General features: G+C 40.2%; 1 protein-coding gene across 5 annotated transcripts in view, besides 1 other annotated feature; it reads right to left on the bottom strand.

Moving 5' to 3' along the window:
* Positions 1 to 24,718, bottom strand: part of DIS3L2 (DIS3 like 3'-5' exoribonuclease 2) — a 382,638-nt gene that overhangs the window by 349,631 nt on the left and 8,289 nt on the right. The gene's annotated exons all lie outside the window — the stretch shown is intronic.
* Positions 4,178 to 4,799: an enhancer, noted in NCBI's record as "OCT4-NANOG hESC enhancer chr2:232854631-232855252 (GRCh37/hg19 assembly coordinates)". NCBI's record gives its function as "activates a minimal SCP1, AML or CMV promoter by ChIP-STARR-seq in primed H9 embryonic stem cells {active_cell/tissue: H9 hESC(primed)}" and the evidence as "EXISTENCE:reporter gene assay evidence [ECO:0000049][PMID:30033119]".

Below are 24,718 nucleotides of genomic sequence, written 5' to 3'. Positions count from 1 at the left end.
AAAAAGTAACTAATGTTGGAGAGTAACTTTATAGTTAAGTGTACTAGTACTAGACTTTCTCCTCTTGAGTTTTTAAAATTACATTAGGTAATTAAAAGCAAAAGTATAATATTGTCTGATGTGGTTTTCAATGTATGTAACTATAAAGCAGGGAGGGTAAAGGGGCCTAAATCGTGGTAAGCTTCCTATGTTCCACCTAAAGTGGTAAGCTGTTGACACTAGTAGACCATGACATAGTAAAGATATCAATTCTCCCCAAACTGATTTATACATTTAACATAATTCTTAGCAAAGTCCCAAGATCTTTTGTAGATACAGACAAGCTTATCTTAAATTTTATATAGAAATGAAAAGGAACTAGAATAACTAAAATAATGAACGACCAAAAAAAATAAAGTTGGAGGAATCATACTATCTGATTTTAAGCTATATAGCTATAGCAATTAAGACTGTGGTATTTTCAGAGGGACAGCCACCTAGACCAATGGAACAACAGAGAGATCCCAGAAATAGCCCCTTACAAATATGTCCAACTGATTTCAGACACAAGTGCAAAAGCAATTCAAGGGAGGAAAGATAGCCTTTTCAACAAATAGTGCTGGAACAACTGGACATCAATAGACCAAAAAAAAAAAAAAAACCAACAAAAAATCTTGACCTTTGCCTCAGACCATATATAAAAATTAACTCAAAATGGATCCCAGATCTAATACAAAAACTATAAAACTCTTAGAGGAGAACATAAGAGAAAAGCATCATGACCTACGATTAGGTGAAGAGTTCTTAGGACATGAAAAGCATGATTCACAAAGGAAAAAAAAGATAAATTGTTATTTTTTTCATTTCTAGAACCTGTCATTGACATAGATGAATGACAACTTATTCAACAATGACATTCTTATTCAACAATGTTAACCGTTAGAGCTCTTCTAAGAAGACCAAAAAAAAAAAAAAAATGCAGTTGGAATATGAGCTCCTGTTTTATCCTTAAGTATTAAAGTGGATGAGAGGGAGGGACTTAAATGTATATTAATTATTTCATTTTAATGAAAGACATTACCTGGACACCATTTACCTACAATATATCATTTTAGGATCTGTGTGAAATCTCCAGGTAATTAAACCTAAGTGATGCAGACCCTCAGAGGTAACTGGGGGACTACTGACCTCAGTCAAGGATTACTGATAAAGAAAAAAAGCCATCTCAGCCAGGCGCGGTGGCTCACACTTGTAATCCCAGCACTTTGGGAGGCCGAGGCAGGTGGATCACCTCAGGTCAGGAGTTCAAGCCCAGCCAGGCCAACATGGCGAAACCCTGTCTCTGCTAAAAATACAAAAATCAGCCAGGCGTGGTGGCTCACACCTGCAGTCCCAGCTACTCAGGAGGCTGAGGCAGGAGACTTGCTTGAACCTGGGAGGCAGGGGTTGCAGTAAGCCAAGATCGTACCACTGCACTCCAAGACTCTGTCTCAAAAAAAAAAAGATAACTTCATATTTTCTAGCTTACATAATTGGATGGACGGGAGTTACATGCACCAGGACAGGGTTATTGAATGAGGATAGAGGGGTAGAGATCATCAGCCAAGAATTGGACGTGCTGAGTTTGAGGTGACTGCAACACCAGGCAGCTGGACACAAAAGTCAGGAGCTCTGAAGAACATCTGGGCTGACAGCAAATTTGGGAGTCACCAGAGAACAAATCATAACCAAAGCAACTGAAATTGAACACAGATGCGATCAGCCTAGGAAGAATATCGAGAAAAAAAGGAAGGGACCTAGGATTGAGACTCTGAGGAGCCTCAAAGTTCAATAGCCAGGGAGAAGGGAACAGAAATTGCAAAGACTGAGAAAAAATGGCCTCCTAAGAGGGAGATATAAGAGAAAACTTGGAAGAGTGTGATGTCAAGAAAATGTCTTTTCTCTACTTCCTGGAGGCTTGGCAGCAGGGAAAAGAGAAAGAAAATCAAGATTTCGAGAAGACAGAGGGCAATGAAGCCCTATGTCACTAAGAGAAGTGAAATAAGGCATTAAGTGTTCATTACACTTAGCAGGATGGATATCACAAGGGGCTCAGTGAGAGGTGCAAGGGGGAAGCAATGGGGATAACACAAAAAAGAAATCAGCTGAGAAATGAATGGGCTGGGGGGATGTGGAGTTCGTGAGCTGTTGATTGCTTGTGAAATTTAGCCATGAAGCGGGAAAGGTGGAAGCAAAAGACAGTTTGCCTTTTTGTTGGTGTTTTTATGAAAGGAGAAACTTGAGCATGTTAAAACACAGAAAGCATGGAAGAGGTGACACGGTGGAGCCAAGGACAATGGGTAGCTTCTGTGAGGGTAGGAGGGGAGGCTGGGGACAGGTGCATTTTGGGTAGCATCCCCCAACATGGCCCGTACTCTTCAAGCTCCCTGCACATTCTCACACAGTTCACTCACCCTCTACTCCAACCTCACTCTTAAAATTTTACCCATTAAAGAACAGCTCAAATTCCATATCCTCTCCCCTACTGTCTCACCTAATTTCTCCAGCTCTTGGGATGCCTTCTCCACAATCCCAAGTGGGTCATGTTTTCCATCTATTTGACCACGAAATCTTTGATAGCAGGTTCCACAGAATACACAGTGGGAAATGAACAGTCTCACGCCTGTCCAGCTCCAGTCCTCATCCCTCAATACAGCCTTCCCAACCATACCACAGCAAAGTAATACCTCCCCTCATAAGGTCCTTAACAATTTCATCATTTAGCACGTGAAGTGTTGAGGGTTCCAGTATGTAAATTCCAAGAGTGTAGAGCCTTGTATGTCCCGTTCATCACTGTATCCCCAGTTCCTGGAAGGGCTAGCACACAGTGGATACTCAGGAAATGCTTACTGAATGAAGTCATTAAAAGAGATGCCCTGTGTACTCTCAAAACCTGTAAATTACTGAGGAGCAGGGATCATGTCTTCTGCCTACTTCTACACCATGCCCACAGGGTACACACCTAATAAATGTTCTTGATAACAGGAGAATTTATTACGGCCTAATGTCACATCAGGAATTACAGGCACAGTTTGGCAATATACCCTAATGCAAATAATATGATATACCCTGATGGAAAATAATGAATAGCCTCTGTAATGTTTTTCAACTCTAAATTTAAAAGACAATTAAGGCCAGGTATGGTGGCTCATGCCTGTAATCCCAGCACTTTCGGAGGCTGAGGTGGAAGGATCCTTTGAGCCCAGCAGTTTAAGACCAGCCTGGGCAACATAGCCCAACTTCATCTCTACCAAAAATCTAAAAATTAGCCAGATGGTGGCACATGCTGTAGTCCCAGCTACTCAGAAAACTGAAGTAGGAGGATCATTTGAGTCCAGGAGTTCAAGAGTGCAGTAAGCTATGATAGTGCCATTGCACTCCAGCCTAGGAGACAGGGTTAGACCCTGTCTCTAAAAAATAAAAATAATTTAAAGACAATAATAGTTGCCGTCAAAATATTAAACATTTCCCACATTACGGAATTTAAGAAAACTCTTAGGCTGGAGTGGGCTGACGCCTGTAATCCTAGCACTTTGGGAGACCGAGACAGGCGGATCACTTGAGGCCAGGAGTTCAAGACCAGCCTGGGCGACATGGCAAAACCCCATCTCTACAAAAAAATACAAAAATTAGCCGGGCACAATGGCTCATGCCTATGGTCCCAGCTTCTTGGGAGGCTGAGGTAGGAGGATCACTTGAGCCCGGGAGGCAGAGCTCAAAAAAAAAAAAGAAAACTCTTAAAGACAACTAAACTTTCTCTCGCTTCTGAAATTCTCTTATAAATTCATATAGCACTCCAAAAACTCGGAGTCTATTTAAGATTTATTTGAATGCTGGAGTTTAGTATATTCACATCTTGGTAATACACAGGACATCGGTAATGGCAGGAAGTACATGAAGGATACTGCTTGAGTGGATCTACAGTATCATTACTTGCCTAATAAAGACAGAATCATCTTAATGCCACTGAAGTACCAGAGTTTTGGCCATAAATCACACAATAACAAATTTAAGATTTGCAATGACAAAACATACAAAACCAAAATTGAAAGAGATCTCAAATACAAGCTTTGCTACCAAATAAGGCCCAAAAATGTTATAAGGTGGAAATTGTTTCAACAAATAGCTTGATTTCTCATGTGTACTCTGTACAGTATAACATTATAAATTCAATCTCATGTTTCTTTCCCGCATTTTATTACTACGATTAAAGTCATCTACAGAATTATTACACTGAAGCGACTAAGATTTCTTCCTATGCTTTAAAGACTTTCGTATCAAACTGGCATTTTCAACCCTCTGAAATTTATTCTAACCTTTCTTTTTGGGAAAAATGTGCAGACTTCGGAGACAAATTCTAGGGAGAGTGGCAAAAAGCACAAGTCAAACACAAGTACTTTAGAAACAATAAGAAACCACTCTCCATCCATCCAGTGAAGGAAGGAACAGAGAGAAACACTTGCAAAACAATAGAGACTAATTAAAAGCCTCATCTTAAAACCTCATCTTTAAAAAAAAAAAAATCAAAACCTAAAGAAGCATGGGAAGGTATTGGTGTCAGAATTCACACTTGGCTCCAAATATCAAATAAAAGGATCTTGTGGAAAGAAAACACAAAGGGTTTCTTTTTGTAATGTATGGGCAGCACACTGGAATACCTCTGCCATGATCAGTAAACCTAGGCAACAACAGTAAAATTCTATTCTCTCTCCTGAAGTAACTCAGGGGCAGTACTTCAGCACCACTGAAAAAGCCACCCTGGAAGGTTTTAGAAATCATGACATCTATTTCATTGACCCTTGTCTCTACTCCCTAGCAAATAAAACCTACATCTTATCTTTTTGTTGTTGTTGTTGTTTGAGACAAGATCTCATTATGTCACTCTGTCACCCAGGCTAGGGTGCAGTGGTACGATCACAGCTCACTGTAGCCTCAACCTCCCGGGCTCAAGTAATCCTCCCACTTCAGCTCCCGAGTAGCTGGGACTATAGGCGTATACCACCACACCCCACTAATTTTTTCTACTTTTTTGTAGAGACAAGGTCTCACTATGTTGCCCAGGCTGGCCTCAAACTCCTGGGCTCAAGCGATCCGGCCTCAGCCTCCCTCAGTGCAGAGATTACAGGTGTGAGCCACTGTGCCCAGTCCCCTGTCCCTTTTCTTAATTACCGTTTGGGGAGACTCTTTTACTCTTTATTTTGGAAATTTTAAAACATCCATGAGGTAGAAAAAATGTAAGAAACTACCATACATTCATCATCAAATTAAATAATTTTCAATTAATAGCCAAAGATTTTTCATCTACGCCTCTATACAAACACACACATACACACACACACACACACACACACACACACACACAATTATACTGACACATACATTTTTAAAACTCCCATTTACAGGTCACACTGGCAAAATATTCTATTTAGCAAACAATTCAGCAACAACTACTATCACTTAGGGCCTTTACTTACAGAAAGCATAAATTTTATTGAGCAAGGTTACCACAAGCTCAATCCAAATTTCATGCTGTGATACAGAAGCAGTTATTTAAAAATAAAGCTGAGAAAGAACTCACCCACTATCTACACGCATAATTTCAACGGTAATCCGAGCCATCACATCTCCATACACTAGTCTCAAAAGTAATAAGACAAAGGAAAAAAGGGTTGCAAAGCTCATCCACGTGGCCAATTTTACCATGGCAATTTGGAAAAATATGTGACTTTCAGAACCTATAATCAACTGAACAAAATGACTAAAACATACAAGAATTGAAAGTAATTTTCCCTAGGTTCATATCAGTTCAAATAAAATGTCAGTGTTCATAAAAACTTGTTTTTATTTTACACAAGAGATTAACATCAATCTAGCTTCTGTGTTAGTTATTTATTTTTTTCAAAAATGTCAGTTATATCATGGCCTTAGTCTTGGGAAAGTATTGCTACAACAATGCCTACTACTCTCAGGACTGCGGCTGCAAACATCTGGAAGTTACTACCAACAGACTTTCAGCCCTAAGCACGGTAAGGCCTTGCTAAGAACCATCTTCCTGCCTACACACAAGATCCACGTCATGTCTTGGAGAACACTCCTGTAAGATGACATATAAAGTCACAACCAGTTGTAATTTACCCTCAAAGTCACGGAGAAGTCTAGTGTTATTCAAGGAATCTGGAGGAATGGAGGACACAAAATTCTAAACAGTAAAATGACTAAGATACTAAAACAGACCACAGATAGATAGGGAAAGCTTGATGACCTCTAAGTCAACTTTCTGATTTTGGTCTGTCAGCTAAGCACGTGGCACTGGTGGACCTGAGAGAGGCCCTACAAAGACAACCCTCACTCTAGCTCCACTTTCCGTGGAGAAATTAAGTTCCACATTCATGCCCTTCAACATGAGTGAGTTTGAAAGATAGTGATTCTAGGGTTTGGAGCAATCCAAAATTCTAGATTTTCCACGTAAAAACCACTACCACTCTCAAGGACCATCACCATGAACTTAATAGTTATAAAACGTCAGGTAGACAGCAGAGAAAACAATCTAAGAAAAATAGGCCAGGTGCGGTGGCTCACGCCTATAATCCCAGCACTTTGGGAAGCCGAGGCAGGTGGATCACCTGAGATCGGGAGTTGGAGACCAGCCTGGCCAAAATGGACAAACCCTGTCTCTACTAAAAATACAAAACTAGCTGGGCGTGGTGGCACATGCTTTTAATCCCAGCTACTTGGGAGGCTGAGGCAGGAGAATCGCTTGAACCCAAGAGGCAGAGGTCGCGCACAGTGAGCAGAGATCGTGCCATTGCACTCCAGCCTGGGCAACAAGAGCGAAACTCTGTCTCAAAAAAAAAAGAAAGAAAGAAAAAGAAAAATGACCAAAATCATTCCCAAAACACCAAAGTACAACTATGACAGACCTGGTGTACTTCTTCTCCCTACCACTTCAAAAAAAGAAGTCAAAACACCAGCACTGTAATCCCTGCTTCTCATGGAGACAAAACAAACCCAAAGTCTACAGACTCCAGGGAAATAAGCTGGGCCTCCAGCTCCACTAAAGAGCTCCAGATTCCCAGTGCTTACGCATGCCTTCTAAACTGAGGGTCAAGGTGCAGGACCTCAGTTCCGTGGCAAAGTTCCTAGCCTTGGGATTACCTTAAACCTTCAGCTAGCAAGTGTTCAACTTGTCACTTACAGGGAAACTACATCACTAAGACCTTGCTGCCTCCAGATGCACATTAAATATAAAACCTATATTCATGCAGAGCCTTTGTGCACGCTTCATTAACCCAGATGTGATTAAATCCAATGTTATGATTCCCACGGAAACTGCAATCTTGGCAAACCCATACACATGTATTTCATATTACTTCAGATGGTAGTGACGTTAAAAGAATCTTAGAAAGAATAAGGCACATTTTAATTGCCACATCTTATTACAAAGAAAACCTTCCAGAAAGATGAGAGATTAGAAAACTGCCTTCCTCCAGGGATAGTGGAGCTCTTTCTTTGAGACAATTAACAAAGACTAGACCAAGCCCTGAAGAATGTCCTGGAAGAAACTATCCTTATCTGGCCTGAAACACACAGCCCAGACAACTTAGGGTTTCCTATAAACTCTATTTCTAATATGCAAGACAACCAGCTGCTTGATGCTTAAAACTTCATTTAAACTATTTAATACTTCCATAAAGTACCATAAATGTTAATCAGATGCAGACCTAACTTTAACTCCAACTAAAAGCAACAGATGAAATATCTGAAGTCATCACAAAATGGATCATCTACTGTAAAACAAATTAAATACTTGTTTATGTCAGCCAATATAGAAAATAGTTTCCCTGGTTCTCAGTTTCTGAAAGGTCAAGTGCTACTACAAACAGGCTAAAAGATTAATGAAAGACAGTAGAGCTCAGTGGTTAAACAGGCTTCTGAAGTCAAAACACCCAGGTTTGAATCCAGGTTCTACCATTTAAGATGACTTGAGCAAATTATTTCATCTTTCTGTCCCTCTCATCATCTAAAAGAGGCGATAATAATAAAAGCTTCTTTGTAGAGCTGTCTTAAGTACTAAAGGAGACAATACATGTAAAGTTCTCATTTTTGCTTCTTCAAAAATGCCAATGTCACAGAAGACAATGTAAAGAGCTGTTCCCAGATTAAAGGAGGTAAAGGAAACATAACAATGAAACACAATATGTGGACCCAGACCAGCCCCTGTACTAGAAGGGGACAAGATGCTAAAAGGGACGTTGCTAGGCGAATTGACAAAATTGTTATAGATGATAGATCTGATAAAAGCTATATCAAAAGTTATGTTAAATTAAGTTGATAACTTTCCTGTGGGTATGTGTACTAATCAGGGTTCTCCAGAGGGGCAGAACTAATAGTTTATATGCATATATGAAAGGGAGTTTATTAAGGAAAACTGGCTCATACAATCACAAGGCAAAGTCCCACTACAAGCCATGTGCAAGCTGAGGAAGAAAGAAGCCATTAGTGGCTCAGTCCATGTCCAAAAGCCTCAAAAGTAGGGAAGCCAACAGTGCTGCCTTCAGTCCGTGGCTGAAAGCCCAAGAGCCCCGGGCAAACCACTGGTGTAAGTACAAGAGTGCAAAGGCGGAAGAACCCAGAGTCTGATGTCCAAGGGCACCAGGAGCGGACTGAAGCATCCAGCATGGGCAAAAAATAAAAGCCAGACGACTCAGCAAGCCAGCTTACCCGACTTGTTCTAGACGCACTGGCAGCCAATTGGATGGTGTCCGCCCACACAGAGGGTGGGTCTTCCTCTCCCAGTCCACTGACTGAAATGTCAATCACCTCTGGCAACACTCTCACAGACACACCCAGAAACAATACTTTACCAGCTATCTAGGCCTCAATCCAATCAAGTTGACACCTAATATTAACCATCACAGTATGTAAGAAAATATCCTTAATTCTTGGAAATACAGAAGTATGTGGGAGTAAGGATGTAGTCAAATTTACTCTCAAGCAGTTAAGGAAAAATTTTAGTTTATATTTGTGTGTGTATGGAAAAGTGGAGAGAGAGAAAGGAAGGAAATAATAAGCAAATGGGACAAAATGTTACCAACAGATGAGTCTAAGTAAAGGGTGTATGCACTCATGAGCATTTATTCCAGAGAAATGAAAGCTGCACATGAACGCTGACGGCAGCTTTATTCATAATAGCCAAATCCTGAAAACAACCGTCATTCAACAGATGAATGGTTAAGCAAGCTCTGATGCATGCATGCCATGGAATACTACTCAGCAATGAAGAAAAACAAACTATTGATACATGCACCAATCTGAATGAATCTCAAAGGAATTACACTGAATAAAGAAAAGTCAATCTCAAAGGTTACATACTATATGATTCTGTTTATATAGCATTCTGGAAATGACAAAATTATAGAGTTTAGTGCTTAGATGGGGTTAGGGAGGCAGAGAGAGAGGGCAATGGCTGTGGCTATGAAAATGTAGCACAAGGGATCTTTGTGATGGAACTCTTCTTTATCTTGACTGTGGTGGTGGTCACACAATCTACAGATGTGACAGAACACACACACAAATGAGTAAAAGCAAAACTGGTAAAATCTGAATACGGAGTACAAGTGAAAATGGTAGAATGTGAATAAGGTATGTGCAGTTACCTGATGGTGATACTGTACCTTAGTTACACAAGAAAAAACTAGGTGAAGGGTACACGGGATTTCTCTACATTATTTCTTACAATTGCATGTGATTCTACAAGTAGCTCAAAATAAAAAGTTTAATTTGCCGGGCACAGTGGCTCATGCCTATAATCCCAGCACTTTAGGAGGCTGAGGCAGGCAGATAACTTGAGGTCAGGAGTTCAAGACCAGTCTGGCCAACATGGTGAAATGTTGTCTCTACTGAAAATACAAAAAATTAGCTGGGTGCCGTGGCGCACGCATGTAATCCCAGTTACTCAGGAGGCTGAGCCAGGAGATTTGCTTGAACCTGGGAGATAGAAGTTGCAGTTGGCTGGGCGCGGTGGCTCACGCCTGTAATCCCAGCACTTTGGGAAGCCGAGGCGGGCGGATCACGAGGTCAGGAGATCGAGACCATCCTGGCTAACACGGTGAAACCCCGTCTCTACTAAAAATACAAAAAAAAAAAAATTAGCCGGGCGTGGTAGCAGGCGCCTGTAGTCCCAGCTACTTGGGAGGCTGAGGCAGGAGAATGGCGTGAACCCGGGAGGCGGAGCTTGCAGTGAGCCGAGATCGCGCCACTGCACTCCAGCCTGGGCGACAGAGCCAGACTCCGTCTCAAAAAAAAAAAAAAAAAAAAGAAGTTGCAGTGAGCCCAGATCACGCCACTCACTCCAGCCTGGGTGACAGAGTGAGACTCCATCTCAAAAAATAAAATAAAAATAAAAAGTTTAATTTAAAAATAAAAGCTAAAAGGAAAAATGTTTAAACAAAAATTAGCAACATAAAATAACATATGAATAATGATAAAGCACCAGAGGCATTCCTATTAACTTAAGAATAGGAAAAGCCTGCTATTTGTTATTTAATAATGTTCTAAAGGAGATAGTCTGCTACATAACAAAAAAGGTGATATAAATATTAGAAATGAGACAAAATGATCAATTATAAATGAAATCACTATCTAGAAAATCCAATACGCAAAAAGTATTAGAATATAAGTTCAATAATGCCCAAAAACAATACACAAAAATAGCCTTTTTATTATATCCCAATAATAATTAGAAAACTCTGTTATAATAAAGAACTTTGTTCCACTTATACTACATTTAATTCTTTTCTTTTTTTTTTTTTTTTAAGATGAGTCTCACTCTGTTGCCAAGGCTGGAGGGCAGTGGCGTGATCTCGGCTCACTGCAACCTCCACCTCCCGGGTTCAAGCGATTCTCCTGCCTCAGCCTCCTGAGTAGCTGGGATTACAGGTGCATGCCACCATGCCCAGCTAATTTTTTGTATTTTTAGCAGAGACGTGTTTCAACGTGTTAGGCAGGATGGTCTTGATCTCCTGACCTCGTGATCCACCCACCTTGGCCTCCCAAAGTGCTGGGATTACAGGCATGAGCCACTGTGCCTGGCCCTCAATCATCAGGCATTAGATTCTGATAAAGAGCACATAACCTACATCCCTCACATGCAGTTCACAACAGGGTTCGCACTCCTATGAGAATCTAATGCCACCACTGATCTGACAGAGGTGGAGCTCAAACAGTAATGCTTGCTCACCACTCATCCCCTGCTGTTGTGGCCCAGTTCCTAACAGGCCACGGACAGTTCAGGATCCCTGTTTTACAAGCCAAAGATTACCAGCCACCAACACAGGCTAACAGAGACATGCAACAGATTCTCCTTCAAAGCCTTTGGGAGGAACCAGCCCTGCCAACACCTTGATCTCACACTTCTATCCTTCATAGCTGTGAGATAATAAATTTCTATTGTTATAAGCCATTCAGTTTGTGATACTTTCCTATGGCAGCCTCAGTAAATCAATACACCACTAAAACCAAGCTTAGGAGATCCACTGAAAACTCCTCTCTGATGATCTCAAATAACTTTTCCAATAAAGGCAGAGGAATGTAAAATACATAGAGTGAAACTAAAGCAAAGCCTGATTAATTAAAATGCATTAAAGTCAGCTTAAAAATATACTTGTCTTTCAATCTAGTTTTCAAAAGAGTTTACCAAAAATTATCTTTAAAAGATGCTTGAGGCTGGGTGCAGTGGCTCACACCTGTAATCCCAGCACTTTGCGAGGCCGAGGTGGGTGGATCATCTGAGGTTAAGAGTTCGAGACCAGCCTGGCCAACACGGAGAAACCTCGTCTCTACTAAAAATACAAAAATTAGCCAGGTGTGGTGGCGGGCACCTGTAATCCCAGCTACTTGGGAGGCTGAGGCAGGAGAATCACTTGAACCCAGAAGGCAGAGGTTGCAGTCAGATGTGATATTGCCACTACACTCCAGCCTGGGCAACAGGGTGAGACTCTGTTTCAAAAAAAAAAAAAATGCTTGAATAAAACACTAAGAAACAAATCCAAATGTAGAAATTATTTAGTATATGATAAAGGAGGCATTTCAGATCAATAGAAAAAAGATTTCTCACTAAATGGTAATATAATAGTGGAGCTATACAGGGAAAAGAAATAAAACATTCTTTATCTACTTCACACTAAACTTGACAGATTAAAGAAGTTATCATAAAACACAAAACCATAAAAAGATTGAAAGATTTAACTGCAGAAAGATGAAATACGTAAGTATTGAATATATAATACATCATAAACAAATGTAAAGACAAATATAATATCTTGCTTCCCATGTTAGGTAAACTATTCCAAAGCACAGACTAAGATGAAAAACCCGCTACCATGCTGTAAGTAAGTGTATTCTAGATTGCAAAGCCAAGTAAGGAAAGCAAAGAATACAGGCCAATCTCATTTATGAACATAGATGCAAAAATCCTAAATAAAATATTAACAACATGAATCCCCACAATATATTGAAGATTACACACTCAAGCAAGTATATCCTATAAGAGTCTATCTATTAAATATAACTCACTATATAGCAATAGGGGGAGGTGAACTTAACAAATGTCCAAAAAAGAATATGACAAAATTTATCACCAACTAGTATTTCTTTTTTTTTTTTCTTTTTGAGAGAGAGCCTCACTTCTGTCACCCACACTGGAGTGCAGTGGCACAATCTCAGCTCCACAACCTCAGCCTCCCAGGTTCAAGCGATTCTCATGCCTCAGCCTCCCGAGTAGCTGGGATTACAGGCACGCACCATGATGCCCAGCTAATTTTTGTGTTTTTAGTAGAGACGGAGTTTCTCCATGTTGCCCAGGCTGGTCTTGAACTCCTGGACTCAAGCAATCCACCCACCTCAGCCTCCCAAAATGCTGGCATTACAGGCATGAGCCACCACGCCTGGCCACCAATTAGTATTAAACATCTAAAAAAAAGGACACTTAATAAGCACTTAATTAAAATAAACATATGTTAACTTATTTATATATAAATATGATATATAATATGTAAATATGTCTCATATATATATATATATATATATATATATATATATATATAAAATACTTAACAGTATAACATTACTGACATTCCCATTACAGTTAGGAGGAGATACCACCTACAACTCAACACTAAGCTGGAGCAGCCCTAGCCAACATAATCAGAAAAGGAAGAGGAATAAATATTGGAAAAGAGACTATGTGTTTATTATTTACAGATAAAATGACTATCTAGAACATCTAAAATGACATACTCACAAATTATATTATTGATAACATGCCTATATGCCAACAATGATAAATTTGAAAATGCAAGGAGAAAAAAAGATCAATTCTAAGTAGCAACCAAAATCACAAGCTAGTAGGGTGTGAAATCTAATTTGAATTTTAAAATTATTTTTAAAAACATGAAGGAAGGCTGGCCACAGTGGTTCACGCCTATAATCCCAGATCTTTGGGAGGCCAAGGTAGGCAGATCACTTGAGGTCAGGATTTCAAGACTAGCCTGCCCAACATGGAGAAACCCCATCTCTAATAAAAATACAAAAATTAGCCAGGCATGGTGGTGCATGCCTGTAATCCCAGCTACTCAGGAGGCTGAGACATAAGAATCACTTGAACCTGAGAGGCAGAGGTTGCAGTGAGCCGAGATCGCACCACTGCACTCCAGCCTGAGCAACAGAGACTTTGTCTCAAAAATTAAAATTTAAAAAAATTTAAAAATTAGCCAGGCGTGGTGGCACATGCCTGTGGTCCCAGCTATTCAGGAGGCTGAAGTAAGAGGATCACCTGAAAACATAAAAGGGACCTAAACAAATAAACCCTGCTTTTGATCAAAAAAGACTCAATACTATAAAGAGGTCCATTAAAAATGAGTTGAAAAAGTCAATGTGATCACAAATTCCAATCATGACCTTTTAATAGAAATTAACAAGCTTATCTTTTTTTTTTCTCTCTCTCTCGAGACGGAGTCTTGCTCTGTCACCCAGGTTGGAGTGCAATGGCACAATTTCGGCTTACTGCAACCTCCACCTCCTGGGTTCAAGTGATTCTCCTGCCTCAGCCTCCCAAGTAGCTGGGAATACAGGTGCATGCCACCACGCCCAGCTGATTTTTTGTATTTTTAATAGAGATGGGGTTTCACCATATTGGCCAGGCTGGTCTCAAACTCCTGACCTCATTATCTGCCCGCCTCAGCCTCCCAAAGCACTGGGATTACAGGCATGAGCCACTGCGCCCAGCCTAACAAGCTTATCTTAAAAATCAAATGAAAAAAAATGGGAAAGGATCTGAACAGGCATTTCTCCAAAGAAGATATAATTACAGCCAATGAGCTTATGGAAAGATGCTCAACATCATCAGACATTAGGAAAATGTAAATCAAAACCACAAGAAGTACTACCAGTCACACTCACTAAATTGTTTCCTTTAAAATGACTAACATTATGTGATGTGAATTTCACATTGATAAAAAGTAATTTTTAAGATCTAATAGAAGAATGCCCAAAATAGATGAGAAATGTTTGCAAAAGAGTAACGAGAAAAGACCTGCTCTATCAAATTGAAAAACATCCTATGACACACTAGTAATTAAAAGATTATGATATTCAACTGGAAATTGGCAAAGACATCATTAGAAGGAAACAGAGAGTCTAGAAACAGACCTTAGGGAAATTATTTTAAAAGTATTTCAAATCACTAGGAGAGAGAACCACTCAAATGGTAATAGCACACCTGGCTATCTGTTTGAAGAAAAGTTAGATTCTTACTACACATAAAAAATAGGCCGGGCGCAGTGGCTCACGACTGTAATCCCAGCACTTTGGGAGGCCGAGGTGGGTGGATCACAAGGTCAGGAGATTGAGACCATCCTGGCCAACATGGTGAAACTCCATCTCTTCTAAAAATACAAAAAGTAGCTGGGTGTGGTGGCAGGTGCCTGTAATCCCAGCTACTCAGGAGGCTGAGGCAGGAGAATCGCTTGAACCCAGGAGGCAGAGGTTGCAGTGAGCCGAGATCACACCACTGCACTCCAGCCTGGCAATAGGGCAAGTCTCTGTCACAAAATAAATAAATAAATAAATACCTGACTCCGTCCCTAAATAAATAAATAAATAACCTTCAGGCCTGGCACAGTGGCCTTGGGAGGCCAAGGCAGGTGGACTGCTTGAGCCCAAGAATTCAAGACCAGCCTGGGCAACATGGTGAAACCCCATCTCTACAAAAAATACAAAAATTAGCCGGGCATGGTGGTGAATGCCTGTAGACCTAGCTACTCGGGAGGCTGAGATGGGAGGGGATCACCTGAGCCCAGGAGGTCAAGGCTGCAGTGAGCTGAGATCATGCTACTACACTCCAGCCTGGGTGACAGAGTGAGACCCTGTTTCAAAATAAAAAAATAAATTAAATAAAAATAAATAAATAAAATAAACTGTAGGTGGCTTAAAGTGCTAAATGTTGGAAGTAAAATTATAAATACAGTAAGAACATAGGAAAAATAGCTTAAAACCTAGGAGTAAAGAAAGTCTTCTTAGTTAAGACGCAAAATACAGATGTCATAATGATGAAGTCTCAAATTTTAAAAATCAAAAACTTCTGTAAGCCAAAAGGAATCATAAAGACAAATCAATTGACTAGGAGAAAATATTTCTAACACATAGGAGTCCAAGGATTAATATACAGAATATGTAAAGACCTACAATCAATATGAAAGAAGCAACTCCATTAAAACAAAATTGAAATTTTAAATGTAAAAACAGGTAAAAGAAATATTCTAATTTAATTGTATGTAAAGGAGACATTCTAATTTAATTGGTCAGTGTTTGCACACAGGTGTGAATATTCTTAAAGCTCCCCTCCCCTGGTGATTCTTATACACAAGGTAAAGAAGCACTGGGCCACACCTATTTGAGGAGCAGGAGGTGTCTCAGCCTGCCCAAGGCGAGGTAAAAGAGGAAAAAGCTAACACCCCCTTGAAGAGCTCCTCTGCAATGGGTTCCAGAGTGAGGATGGTGGAGTGCATGGAGACAGAATGCCTTAAAGGAGACTGGTTTCTTTTTATCCACTAGGAAATCATTCTCTTTTACTTCCACAAGACCGAAACATATAAATCATATTCTCTGAGATGAATAAGGAAAATTACTACAAAATAAACTTATACGTCTATGTGGAAGCAGCCCACGATTATTTGCAAAATCTGACCAAAACAAACACATTTGACGCTATGGGAAAAAAGCAAATCACATAAAAATATCTGCACTGTGATTCCATTTGATTAGTGTCAAAAACATGTAAAATTAAACCACAGTTTAGGGATACAAACTATGTGGTTCAAGTATAAAGAAAACACAAAATTCAGATTACCTCAGAAAGGAGAAAGGCACGGAGATCTTCAATGGCAACGATAATTTTGTTTTCTTAATCTGGTGGTTGTGTACATTGGGTATTCATTGTCCTGCTATTCTATATACCTTACACATATTTTGCATACATTACTTTGTAACTTTTCAATTACCAACAAATAAGACTATAGAATGCATATAAAAACATACATAGTCTTTTAATTCTAGACTCAATCTTTTCCACTGAAAATCTGCCAGGTTCTATCATGTCCTTCTATCACCTTCTAGGAGTTAACAAAAACCTCGATTTTCATCTTTTCTTCTGAAGTTGTATCACAAGGAGACTCATGGAGGTAGGGCAGGGATACAAGAAAGGGCAATGGATCTTCTGATCAAACACAAACCACTGACAATCACTTCAGACCAGAACTCAAGAATAAAAACAAAAAACATGTGTAACACAATTAAAAGCACTGCAAGAAGAATGAGACAATTTTAACAGCTAGATAGTTTTCCATTAATTATTTTCTAACTGATCAAAATTCCATGAAACCCATTTGAAATCTCAGCTTTCAATTCCTTTGAGATACAAATATTACACTGAGTCCAATTGAGTATTTGCAGTGTCAGAGCAAATTCTACATGTGGTGGGTAGTTTTGAGTTCAAGGACAGTGTCACATGTATTCCTTCCTACTGGCCAGAAGTTTCGAAGTCCCCGAGAATCAGGCCTGGGCTCTGCCCACAATACTATAATCTGAGTGTTCCTTTCATTAGCACAGTACAAGATCACACAATGACCCTTAAGCTGAGGCAGGATCCTGGATGCCTGAGGAAGTGGGATACTCTTTGGGTATGGTAAAAGCCAAAGGCTGAGACAATCAATAAATTAATTAGCATGAAGTATGCTGACTTCTTTGGAAGGAATTTTATGAACACAGGATTTAAGACTTCTTATACAATAAACAATACAATCACAAGTGCTAATAAAGTAGAACTAAGGGTGCTACAGCATGAAAATGTTATCAATCAATCAATAAACCTCTGAATTAATTATATATAAGATTGTACAGACAGACGGTCCTCAACTTATGATGGTTCAACTTACAATTTTTCAACTTTACAATGGTGCAAAAGCTATATTCATTCAGTAAAATTGTACTTCAAGGACCCCATGACCAGTTTTTCACTTTCAGTGCAGTATTTAATAAGTTACATGAGGTATTCAACACTTTATTATAAAAAAGACTTTGTGTGGCCGGGCGCGGTGGCTCACACCCGTAATCCCAGGCGTGGGAGGCTGAGGCGGGCGGATCACGAGGTCAGGAGATAGAGACCATCCTGGCTAACATGGTGAAACCCCATCTCTACTAAAAATACAAAAAATTAGCTGGGCGTGGTGGCGGGCACCTGCTGTCCCAGCTACTCGGGAGGCTGAGGCGGGAGAATGGCATCAACCCGGGAGGCGGAGCCTGCAGTGAGCCAAGATCGCGCCACTGTACTCCAGCCTGGGCAACAGAGCGAGACTCTGTCTCAAAAAAAAAAAAAAAAAAAAGGCTTCGTGTTAAATGATTTTGCCAAACTTTAGGCTAACATAAGTGTTCTGAACACATTTAAGGTAAGCTAAGCTAAGCTATGATGTTCAGTAGGTGTATTACAATCATTTTCAATTTGTAATTTTTTTTTTTTTTTGAGAGAGGGTCTCGCTTTGTTACCCAGGCTGGAGTACAGGGGTGAGATTTCAGCTCACTACAACCTCCACCTCCCAGGCTCCAGTGATCCTCCCACCACAGCCCCCCAAGTAGCTGGGACTATAGGCACGCACCACCATATACCCAGCTAATTTTTTGTATTTTTGGTAGAAACAGGTTTCACGTTACCGAGGTTGGTCTCGAACTCCTGAGCTCAAGCAATCTGCCCGCCTCAGCCTCCCAAAGTGTTAGGATTACAGGCGTGAGCTACCGTGCCTGGCCCAATCTATGACATTTTCAACTTATGATGGGTTTATTGGAATGCAACGCCATCAGAAGTCAAGAAGGATCTGTATTAGGGAATTAAAGGAAATTTTAAAAGATACCTTCCCTGGATCAGAAGCATACAGTAGTTAAATAGAAAAGAGTTGTAATGTACACTATAGGGGTGATGGGTACACTAAAAGCCAACACTTCGCCACTATGCAATTCATCCATGTAAAGAAAGCCTCTTGTACCCCTAAAACTATTGAAATAAAAACTGAAATAAATACTCCACAATTCAATCCAACCTCCCTTCTCATCTGCTTTCCATATTCACATTTACTTCTTAAACAGGGGTGTGTGTGTGTGTATGTGTGTGTATGTCTAAGAGAGAAAGAGGAGAGAAAAAGAGAGTAAGAGAGAGAGAGAAGAAGAAGGAGGACTGGGAATGAGAACATAGAAATAAGTGAGAATAAAGAACAGGAAAGTAATAGTTATTAGAATTGTATTCCAGAAAAGCATTACCTCCAGGGCCTCTAAGGGAGCTTTCTTTCTCTAACCACATCCCTCTCCTCACTCCCTCAAGCTTGCAAGACTGCTCTTCCTTCTTCTAACTTCTGGTCCTTCATCCCTCATCTTTTTTTTTTTTTTTTTTTTTTTTGAGGCGGAGTCTCGCTCTGTCGCCCAGGCTGCAGTGCAGTGGCGCAATCTCAGCTCACTGCAAGCTCTGCGTCCTGGGTTCACGCCATTCTCCTGTCTCAGCCTCCCAAGTAGCTGGGACTACAGGTGCCTGCCACCACGCCTGGCTAACTTTTTTGCATTTTTTTAGTAGAGATGGAGTTTCACCATGTTAGCCAGGATGGTCTCAATCTCCGGACCTCGTGATCCGCCTGTCTCAGCCTCCCAAAGTGCTGGGATTACAGGCGTGAGCCATGGTGCCCGGCCCATCCCTCATCTTTTTTTTAACCTCTCAGTTGAGCAACCCCATTTCTGCTTTCCCTTCCCTGGATTCTTAGCCTCAAAGAGATATAATATATAATAATAATATTGGAAAGAAATTATAGAATCCTGTTCCAACTGCCTCAGAGTCCAGAGCTCTTCATGCTAGTGACCTCATTATTTTGCACAGAGTCCCCTGAAGGGCCTGGTCAGAGGTTTCCTACATTCTTTTAGCTTGGCACTCTGGCATGGGCATAGTCCAGGGACACATTCCAATTTCCTAAAGCTGAAAAGTCCCATCTGAGATTCTAAGATCTTTACTAAAACTAACCTTAATTGAATGCCGTTCAAAAGTGTAAACAGTAGATAAACCAGTTCAACTCTATACCCAAGTATTTGTTAAATTATGGTGAGACAAACGATAAAACTACTCATTTTTCAATAATTATTGTATTGTATTGAAGACTTTCCTTTATAAAAGGAAAGCAACCAAACGGATACAATAGTCTGAAGGGCATATATGTTTTCTAAATAAATAACATTAGTAATTACTTCTCTGAATACTATATCACTTTACTGTATTTTTAAGAGATGATTTGTTTATTCTATTAGCCTAAGAGATCAGAAGATTATAATACATCCTTTTATCACTTATAATTTGAATAGCTTTATGTTCTGATAGCATTTACAATCAAGAAATATAAGCATTATTGATTCTAACATCTCCAAATCCCAGCATTTCTAAGTAAATAAATACATATACCTTACATGTTTGAGGAGACAGCTATGTAAAAAAATTTTTTTAAAAAAGAATTGTATTCCATATGTTCAAGAAGCTAAAGACTGGCTATGTTAAGAGACCTGGGATATTAAAAAAAAAAAAAAAGATCCAAATTAAACTTCTAGAGATAAAAACCATGTCAACTGAGATGAAAAATACACTGAATGGGACAACAGATTAGACACCACAGAAAAAAAAAATTAGGAACTTCAAGATGTAGCAAGAGAAATTATCCAAAATGAAACAAAGAAGGAAAAAAGACTGAAAAAAAAATTGACAGCTGAGACCTTGAGGCTATTCCAGCCAGTCTGCTGCCAGGGACCCATGTTTTTGCTCCACTACTTAGAGCCTCCTGCCTTCCCCTAGGGAGGTGTCCTTCTGCTCCAGCTTCCCTCCCCTGTCCCTTTTTGGCCCCTATGTGCTCCTCTTTTACTTAGACTTGTGCACACAGAGACAAGCACACCCCCTTGTCCCCCACTTCACCAATTTCTGGTGGCTGAAATCCACCCTCACAGACTTCAAAGGAAGATATTCTTGAGATAATGAAAAGTAACATCTTTGCATATGAAAGGAAAAAGGTTAAAGTATATATATATATTTTTTTAACTGTATTAGGAACATGGGAAGCTTTTTAAAAACAAGGTTTTATTTACTGTAGAGATGAATGCAAGTCAGAACCAGTATCTCTTAGTCTACTTAATTAAAACCAGCTCATACATCCCTTAGGGGTTTATTATTAATTATTATTATTGTGGTTGTTGTTATAGTTGTTGTAATTATTAGTTGGGGTTTCTTTTGTTTTTCTTCACAGTTCTCCACATTAAACTCACAATATTGTGGGGAAAAGCCATAACTAAACTCTATGCTGCAGTGAGATATAGGAGTAATCAGCTCCCAGTAACATATGTAGCCCGAGTTGCAGCTTGTAATAATCACCAATGATTTAAAGCTTTTGGCTGGGTGTGGTGGCTCACACCTGTAATCCCAACACTTTGGGAGGTCTACGCAGGAGGATCCCTTGAGCTGAAGGAGTTCAAAACCAGCCTGGGCAACACAGTGAGACCCTGTCTCTATAAAAATAAAATTATATTTTAATGTAAATAAATAAAGCTTTATTTAGCCTTGATCTCTACCCTCATAGTCAGGTCTTCCCATATTTTATTACTGAAGTGGGAAAATGTATTATTTGTTTGTTGTTTTGCTTCTGTCCCAATATTAAACTATGAAATTTGTGATTTGTTTAAGTTCTGGGTGAATCACAGCTTTATCTGTATGTCCAGCTCATTTGTTTCTATGTATTTTGTTTGATTCTCTCTTTCTTTCAAGGCTTCTACAAAAATATATACGTGTGTGTGTGTGTGTATAAACATGTAAATATATACATACGGATCTTCTGAAAAGTGTGTTAAGTTCGTTCAAGTAATAGATAACTTTAATAGCCTTATATGGCAAAAAGGAATTGAATTTGCAGTTAAAAACTTTTCTACAAAGAAAACTTGAGACCAGATGGATTCACTGGTAAATTCCACTGAACATTTAAGGAAACTATACCAGTTCTATGCAAACTGTTCCAGAAAACCGAAGAAAAGGAACATTTTCCAATTCATTCAAGGTTTCCAGCGTTACCCTGATATCAAAAACAAAGATATTACAAAACACAGTTCAAACCAGTATCATTCATAAACAGAAATGCAAATTTTTTAAACCAGATTTTAGGAAATCAATTGCAACAATATATAAATAGAATAAGAATATGGCAGAATCAAGTGGGGTTTATCCCAGGAATGAAAGGTTACTTTTAGGACCAGGCATGGTGGTGCACACCTGTAATCCCAGCACTTTGAGAGGCCGAGGTGGGCAGATCACCTGAGCTCAGGAGTTTGAGACCAGCTTGGGCAACATGGTAAAACCTCATCTCTACTAAAAACAGAAAAATTAGCCAGGCCTGGTGGCACACACCTGTAGTTCCAGCTACTCGGGAGGCTGAGGCAGGAGAATCGCTTGAACCCAGGAGGCAAAGGTTGCAGTGAGCTGAGATTGCACCACTGCACTCCAGCCTGGGTGACAGAGCAAGATTCCATCTCAAAAAGAAAAAAGAAAGGTTACTTTTAATACAGTCATGCATTCCATAACGACATTTCAGTCAATGACAGACATATATGCTATGGCAGTCCCATAAGATTATAGGGAAGCTGAAAAATTCCTAACACCTGGTGACAGTACAGCCATCCCAACAGTGTAGCACAACCCACTAGTCATGTGTTTGTGTTGATGCTGGTGTAAACGAGTCTACTGTGGTGCCAGTCTCATATAAAAGTATGGCAGATACAATTACATACAGTATGCAATACTTGATAATAAGTGGCTATGTTACTGCTTTATGTATTTACCATACTTTTATCATTATTTTAGAGTATACTCCTATTTTTTATTTTTATTTATTTTTTATTTTTTTATTTTTTGAGACCGAGTCTCGCTCTGTAGCCAAGCTGGGGTGCAGTGGCGCGATCTCGGCTCACTGCAACCTCCGCCTCCCAGGTTCAAGCAATTCTCCTGCCACAGCCTCCTGAGTAGCTGGGATTACAGGTGCACACCACCACGCCCTGCTAATTTTTGTATTCCTAGTAGAGACAGGGTTTCACCATGTTGGCCAGGATGGTCTCAATCTCTTGACCTTGTGATCCATCCGCCTCGGCCTCCCAAAGTGCTGGGATTACAGGCGTGAGCCACCGTGCCTGGCCACTCCTACTTATTTAAAAAAGATGGGCCGGGCGTGGTGGCTCACACCTGTAATCCCAGCACTTTGGGAGGCGGAGGCAGGCAGATCACGAGGTCTGGAGTTTGAGACCATCCTGGGCCAACACGGTGAAACCCCGTCTCTACTAAAAATACAAAAACTGGGCAGGGTGCGGTGGCTCACGCCTGTAATCCCAGCACTTTGGGAGGCCAAGGCAGGCGGATCACAAGGTCAGGAGATCGAGACCATCCTGGCTAACACGGTGAAACCCGTCTCTACTAAAAATACACAAAATTAGCCAGGGGTGGTGGCGGGCGCCTGTAGTCCCAGCTACTCAGGAGGCTGAGGCAGGAGAATGGCGTGAACCTGGGAGGCGGAGCTTGCAGTGAGCCGAGATGGCGCCACTGCACTCCAGCCTGGGCGAGAGTGCGAGACTCCGTTCAAAAAACAAACAAACAAACAATGAGCTGGGCGTGGTGGCACACACCTGTAGTCCCAGCTACTCGGGAGGCTAAAGCAGGAGAATCACTTGAACCCGGGAGGCAGAGGTTGCAGGCAGAAGTTGCAGTGAGCCAGATCGCGCCACTGCACTCCAGCCTGGCGAAAGACTGAGACTCTGTCTCAAAAAAAAAAAAATGACAAAATAAACTGTACACCAAACCCCGACAACACACAATTTACCCATGTAACAAACCTGTACACGCACCTCCAAACCTAAAGTACAATTTGGAAATCAAATAAGTAATTTAACTGTAAAATGTTAACTATAAAACAGCCTCAAGCAGGTCCCTCAGGAGGTATCCAGAAGAAGGCACTGTTACTGGAGATGACAGCTCCATGCATGTACTGCCCCTGAAGACTTTTCAGCAGGACAAGATGTCAAGGTGGAAGAGAGTGATACTGATGAACCTGACTCTATGTAGGCCTAGGCTAACGTGTGTGTTTGTGTCTTAGTTTTTAACAAAAAATTTTAAAAAGTAATAAATAGAAAAAAGTTTATAGAATAAGGACATAGAGTATTTTTGTACAGCTGTACAATGTGTTTGTGTTTTAAGCTAAGTATTATTATAAGAATCAAAATATAAAAAATTAAAGTTTATAAAGTAAAAAAAGTCACAGTAAGCTAAGGTTAATTTATTATTGAAGAAAGAAAAAATGTTTTCTATAAATTCAGTATAGCTTAAGTGTACTGTGTTTGTAAAGTCGACAGTAGTGCACAGTAATGTCCTCGGCCTTCACACTCATTCACCACTCACTCACTGACTCACCCGAGCAACTTCCAAGCCTGCAACTTCCATTCATGGTCAATGCCCTATACAGGTGTACCATTTTTTTATCTTTTATATTGTATTTTTACTGTACCTTTTCTATGTATAGATACATCTAGATACATAAATACTTAGCATTCTATTACAATTGCCTATGGTATTAAATGCAGTCACATGCTGTACAGTTTTGTAGCCTAAGCGCCACAGGCTTTACCATATAGCCTAGGTGTGTAGTAGGCTACAACATCTAGATTTGTGAAAGTACACTCTATGAGGTTTGCACAACAAAATTACCTAACAATGCATTTCTCAGAATGCATCTCCATTGTTAGGCAACAAATGGCTGTATTTGAAAATCGATGCGATATTTCACCATATTAACAAATGAAAAGTGGCTGGGTGCAGTGGCTCACACCTGTAATCCCAACACTTTAAGAGGTGACAGTGGGAGGACTGCTTGTGCTCAGGAGTTCAAGGCCAGCCTCGACCACATAACAAGACCTCATCTCTACTAAAAAACAAACAAACAAAAAAAAATCAGCCAGGTGTAGTATGTGGTCCCAGCTACTTGGGAGGCTAAGGTAGGAGGACTGCTTGAGCCCCAGAGGTCAAGGCTACTGTGAACCACAGTCATGCCAC

This window comes from Homo sapiens, chromosome 2 (assembly GCF_000001405.40).
Source record: "Homo sapiens chromosome 2, GRCh38.p14 Primary Assembly".
NCBI lineage: Eukaryota > Metazoa > Chordata > Mammalia > Primates > Hominidae > Homo > Homo sapiens.
Note: the sequence above shows the minus strand (reverse complement) of the source record. Positions and strands in the feature narration are given on the sequence as shown.